Source organism: Homo sapiens, chromosome 18, assembly GCF_000001405.40.
Source record: "Homo sapiens chromosome 18, GRCh38.p14 Primary Assembly".
NCBI classification, from domain to species: Eukaryota; Metazoa; Chordata; class Mammalia; order Primates; family Hominidae; genus Homo; species Homo sapiens.
The window spans coordinates 3,483,770-3,489,769 of record NC_000018.10 but is presented as its reverse complement, the minus strand read 5'-3'; the positions used below and the strand labels follow the sequence as shown (position 1 = coordinate 3,489,769).

The following is a 6,000-nucleotide window of genomic DNA, read 5'->3' as shown; positions in this document are numbered from 1 at the left end:
GAAAACCAAATGCTGCATGTTTTCACTTATAAGTGGGAGCTAAATGTTGAGTACATATGAACACAAAGATGGTGACAATAGACAATGGGATTTCAAAAGGAGGAAGTGGGGAATGGGGCAAGGGTTGAAAAACTACCTGTCAGATACCGTGTTCACTACTTGAGTGATGGCATCATTAGAAACCCAAACCTCAGCACCATGCACTATAACCACGTAACAAATCTGCCATGTACCCCTAAAATCTAAAATTTAAAAATAATAATAAGAAATAAGAAATAGGGCCGGGTGCGGTGGCTCACGCCTGTAATCCCGGCACTTTGGGAGGCCGAGGTGGGCGGATCACGAGGTCAGGATTTCAAGAGACGGCCAACATAGTGAAACCCCGTCTCTCCTAAAAATACAAAAAATTAGCCAGGCATAGTGGAGGGTGCCTGTAATCCTAGCTACTCAGGAGGCTGAGGCAGGAGAATCACTTGAACCCAGGAGGTGGAGGTTGCAGTGAGCCGAGATCATGCCACTGCACTCCAGCCTGGGTGACAGTGTGAGATTCTGTCAAAAAAAAAAAAAAAAAAAGAAAGAAAGAAAAAGAAGAAAGAAAAGAAAGAAAGAAAGAAAAAGGAAAGAAAGAAAAGAAAGAAAAAGGAAAAAAGAAAAGAAAGAAAGAAAGAAAGAAAAAGAAAGAAAGGAAGGAAGGAAGGAAGGAAGAAAGAAAGAAGAAAGAAAGAAAGAAAGAAAGAAAGAAAGAAAGAAAGAAAGAAAGAAAGAAAGAAAGAAAGAAAGAGAGAGAGAGGCCGGGCACGGTGACTCACCCCTGTAATCCCAGCAACTTGGGAGGCCAAGTGGGGTGGATCACCTGAGGTCAGGAATTTAAGACCAGCCTGACCAATATGGTGAAACCCCGTCTCTATTAAAAATATAAAAAAACTAGCCAGGCATGGTAGTGGACGCCTGTAATCCCAGTTACTCGGAAGCCTGGGCAGAATTGCTTGAACCCAGGAGGCGGAGGTTGCAGTGAGTCGCGACTGAGCCATTGCACTCCAGCCTGGGCAACAAGAGTGACATTCCATCTCAAAAAAAAAAAAGTAATAAGAAATAAATAAAGCATATGGCCAGGTGCGGTGGCTCACGCCTGTAATCTCAGCACTTTGGGAGGCCGAGGCGGGTGGATCACGAGGTCAGGAATTCGAGAACAGCCTGGCCAACATGGTAAAACTTCATCTCTACTAAAAATACAAAAATTAGCCGGCGTGGTGGCGGGCACCTGTAATCCCAGCTACTTGGGAGGCTGAGGCAGAAGAATAGTTTGAACTCGGGAGGTGGAAGTTGCAGTGAGCTGAGATTGTGCCATTGCACTCCAGCCTGGGTGACAGAGTGAGACTCCGAATCAAAAAAAAAAAGCATAAAAAAACCGAACAACTTTTTAAATGAAAACAAACAGACAAACAAACAAAAAGCACTGAAAGACAGTAAAAGAAATTGGTAAATAACATCTTCAAACTCCCAGGTCCCCAGGGTCCCTGAGTTGTGGCCAATGAAAATGAAATGTCTCTCTAGGCTTCCTGGTAGCCAGGGCAAAGTGGACAGCATTTTAAAAAGTTAGTCTCTGGAGTACAGGCCGTTATTCTAAGTAAAGTAACTCGTATGTTCTCACTTAAATTGGGAGCGAAGCTATGGGTACACAAAGGCATCCAGCTTGGTATAATAGACACAGGAAACACAGAAGGGAGAAATAAAAAAACTATATATCAGGTGTAGTGTACCTATTTGGGTGGCTGGTGCACTAAAACCTCAGACTTCATCACTACGTAATTCATCCATGTAGCCAAAAACAACCTGTACCCCTAAAGCTATCGAAATAAATAAACAGAAAGAAAAAAAAGGTACTTGAAGTGCATTTAGCCCCCAAAATTTTAACCTGATAGAAATGAAACAAGTAAAGAAAATGACCATGCAAAGTCCTCTTCTTTCAACTCTAGAATAAAAACTGAGCAGAAAAATAGATTGTGGCAACTCCTGCCACCTAAATTTTCTGAACATAGAATCAGTTTCACAGTTAATTAACATTCTACAATAATATCGTAGTTAATGGCCATCAATTTATTAACATTTTATAATTATATTAATTATGGGATATAATTATAAATAATATAATTAATATTCTGTAACTAATTAATATTCAAACAGGAAACAGGAAAATATTTCCAAAAGCCTATTATGAATACTTAGAAAATCTCATAGCAGGCAATTGGAAATGCTGTATTTTTTTAATCTTTATAAGAAGAAAAAGATACGTTCACAACTTCTCAGATTTCATTCTATAATTCCTAGCTACGCTAGAAAACAAAGATGATTGACTGATTTTCCTAAAAGCCTTTTATTAGGTAGTGGGCATTATGCATACATTATTACCTTATTTAATAAAATGTCTGTTGTTCTGTTAGAAATTTTCTACTTGTTATGATGTTATGATGTTGATATATGCCATTTGGAAATGTGAATTTATTTTTCTCCAAGAAATAAAAAGACATTTTCATGTTTGGAAATTTTTAAGAAAAGAGTCTCATTCACTTTGCAGACACCAAAACTTTCAACACCTCTTCTCTTTCAGAAAGCTACCAAATGATTTTGCATACATTGCAAACCTAATGTGTGAGCTCACAGGAGCACAACTTGCTAATCACAACACTGATAAATGACCACATAGAATGAAGTACAGCCATGGCATCTTTAAAATCAACTCTCTTTTATTTAACTGGTTTAAGTGACTTTTAGTTCTTAGCAAGCAAGTGGTCCCAGAATATGGTGGGGTTAGTTCTGACATCCTTGTTAAGTTCAACATCCTTTGGGGTTCAATCCAAGAATGTGTCCTTCTCTCTAGGAAGTAAGCAATATTTCAGTCAGTATTTTTTTTTCTTTTCTTTTCTTCTAAAGCAGACCTGACAGATGAGATGTCCTGGTTTTCCTGTTCAGACAAGGCCCATATCAGAGCCCGTGACTTTCGAGACCTGCTCGTCTGTGAGCAGGAACTCTTCATTTCCCAGATGTATCCCTTTGTCACGCTTGAGGGTGCCACCCTTTCCGCCCTGCAGCCTCAGCCACTCCTCACTGGGCAAAAGACTTATCACTGGTGTCTGTGCTGTGACCCTGGACAGTAGTTTCAGCTGCGTTTAAGCCAACAGCTCTGTGCCTTTTAACACACATTAGGACGACTCTTCCTCAGTGTGAAAGAGCTCACAGAGGACTTCACACAGAAGCTGCCATTTTCTAAGGTCTGTTTAATATCTCTGGCCCAGACCTGGAAAGACTATGCTTTGGCACTGAATTTATTCGGCAATTTCTTTTCTTTCTTTCTTTTTTTTTTTTTTTTAAGATGGATTTTTTGCTCTTGTCACCCAAGCTGGAGTGCAATGGTATGATCTTGGCTCACTACAACCTCCACCTCCTGGGTTCAAGCAATTCTCCTGACTCAGCCTGCCAAGTAACTGGGATTACAGGTGCGCGCCACCATGCGCAGCTAATTTTTGTGTTTTTAGTAGACACGGGGTTTCACCATGTCAGTCAGGCTGGTGTGGAGCTCCTGACCTCAGGTGATCCACCCGCCTTGGCCTCCCAAAGTGCTGGGATTACAGGCGTAAGCCACTGTGCCTGGCCGATTTCTTTATTAAATATAAAACAATGGACTAAGCTGTCCCACCCCCTCGTAGCCACATTCTACTGCTTGAAAGGTGAGAAAGAGGGAAAAGGTTGCACACTGCAAATGCAATAGAAGCAAACCCAACAAAAACTGGAAAGTGGCCAAAGCATTCTACCTCTTACAAAATACACTCATGGACACACAAAGTGATGAATTGGAGTGGAGATAGGCAAAGATTTATGGAAGAAGTGGAGTTTGACTTGCAGGCTTTTGACAGCCTTCAGAGCAATGATTCTCAAACATCTGTGTTCCTAAGAATCGCTTGGGGCCCCCAAGCAGATCCTAACTTTGTAAGTCTATTCTGACAATCTGCCTGGATTTCTCACAATTCACCCAGTTGAGGCTAATGCCAGAGTTCATGGGCCAGCCTCCAAGACTCTGCTGTCCAGCAGTGCTTTTCAACCTGGGAAGCTTTGAGAAACCTGCACAGCAAACCAATTATATTAGACAAATGCACCTATGTTTTGCATGTTTTTGTGCCGCTGAGGTTGAGAATCCCTACTGCAGAGGTATTTGAAGCAAAAGAAGTAGGCTGAGCCAAGGCCGTGAGGAAGGTGGGAGCAGTGAGTGTTTGAAAACTCAGTCACAGGGAAGTATCATGGCTAGAATGACCCACTCATCACGGGAGTTGTATTTTAACTCATATTACAGGGCAAAGACAAGTAAGAACTAGTGGACTGTGTACCAGAAAAAAAAAAAATCTATCCTCACCTAAAGCATTACTAGGAAATGTATGACCCACTTACTAGTGGGACACAAACAATTTCTTGATTTGTATCTAAGGGGCATTTGTCTGGGGCATAAATGAGTATATCAGTCCGGTGTGAGGTTTCCCGTTGAGGTTAAACTTCTTGGTCAGCCTGGCTCTTTGGCAGTCATTCTGAGAATTAGAATGCAGCAGGCAGAAAGCTCAACAATGTACAGCACATTCTGATATAGTGACTAGCTTTTATCGGCTTATTTTCCAAAATATACTTTGCAATAATATGTGAATCAATTACTACGAAATGAGACTTTTCTGCATAGATACCTAGCACAGAGAATCAGCATCTTATAAGGAATGACCTAAAATGACAGTTTTCTTTTTTTTTAGAGACAAGTTCTCACTATGTTGCCCAGGCTGGTCTCAAAGTCCTGGCCTCAAGTGATCCTCCTGCCTCAGCCTCCAGGGTGGCTAGGATTACAGGAACAGCCACTGTACCCCGCGACAATTTTCTTATCTACCACTTTCCTGCTTTTATATAACCCCAGAATGGAGACTAATTGGTCACTTGTAGTCCATTTTTAACATAGTAACTAGTACTATTAATTCTCAGTTAGGAGCCCGGTGCAGTTGCTCACACCTGTAATCCCAGCACTTTGGGAGGCCAAGGTGGTCGGATCTCTTGAGGTCAGGAGTTCAAGACTAGCCTGATCAACATGGTGAAACCTTGTCTCTACTAAAAATACAGAAAATTAGCCAGGCGTGGTGGTGCATGCCTGTAATCCCAGCTATTCAGGAGGCTGAGGCAGGAGAATCACTTGAACCCAGGAGGCAGAGGTGGAGGTTGTGGTGAGTCGAGATCGCACTGTTGCACCCCAGCCTGGGCAACAGAGTAAGACTCTGTTAAAAAAAAAAAAAAAAAAAAGCCGGGCACAGTGGCTCATGCCTGTAATCCTAGTACTTTGGGAGGCCAAAGCAGGTGGATCACTTGAGGTCAGAAGTTCAAGACCAGCCTGGCCAACATGGCGAAACCCCTCCTCTACTAAAAATACAAAAATTTGCCAGGCGTGGTGGCACGTACCTGTAATTCCAGCTACTTGGGAGGCTGAGGCAGGAAAATCTCTTGAACCCAAGAGGCGGAGGTTGCAGTGAGCCAAGATTGCGCCACTGCACTCCAGCCTGGGAGACAGAGTGAGATTCTGTCTTAAAAAAAAAAAAATTCTCAGTTATGGTCTTAAAGTCTGAGAGGCCAATTCCTATACAAGAAAAAGATAGTGATAGTCTGTGTCATGAAAAGATCCTCAGGCACACTGGCCCGTGGACAGACACCTTGCTGCAATCAACCTTTACAGCAATGAATTTCCTCTACAACCAAGCTCAAGATTTCTCTCTAGATACTTGATACAAGAATGAGATTTGAACAATAAGGAAGGAAACTGCAGATCCTGAATTTTCCAAGACAATTTAGATGTTAATCAATTTTGTCTATAGGTATCGATATTGGTACACATACAACCCAGAAAAAAAAAAAAGTCCTTTGTCAGACCAAGCGTCCTGGTTTTTAGTTCAGAAGCATCGTGTTCTTCCTTCCCTCAAATCACTG

At 41.8% G+C, this 6,000-nt stretch overlaps 2 annotated features.

The window, feature by feature from the left end:
- Nucleotides 4,322-4,371: an enhancer, noted in NCBI's record as "active region_13048". NCBI's record gives its function as "activates an Ori minimal core promoter by ATAC-STARR-seq in GM12878 lymphoblastoid cells {active_cell/tissue: GM12878}" and the evidence as "EXISTENCE:reporter gene assay evidence [ECO:0000049][PMID:35858748]".
- Nucleotides 4,382-4,461: an enhancer, noted in NCBI's record as "active region_13047". NCBI's record gives its function as "activates an Ori minimal core promoter by ATAC-STARR-seq in GM12878 lymphoblastoid cells {active_cell/tissue: GM12878}" and the evidence as "EXISTENCE:reporter gene assay evidence [ECO:0000049][PMID:35858748]".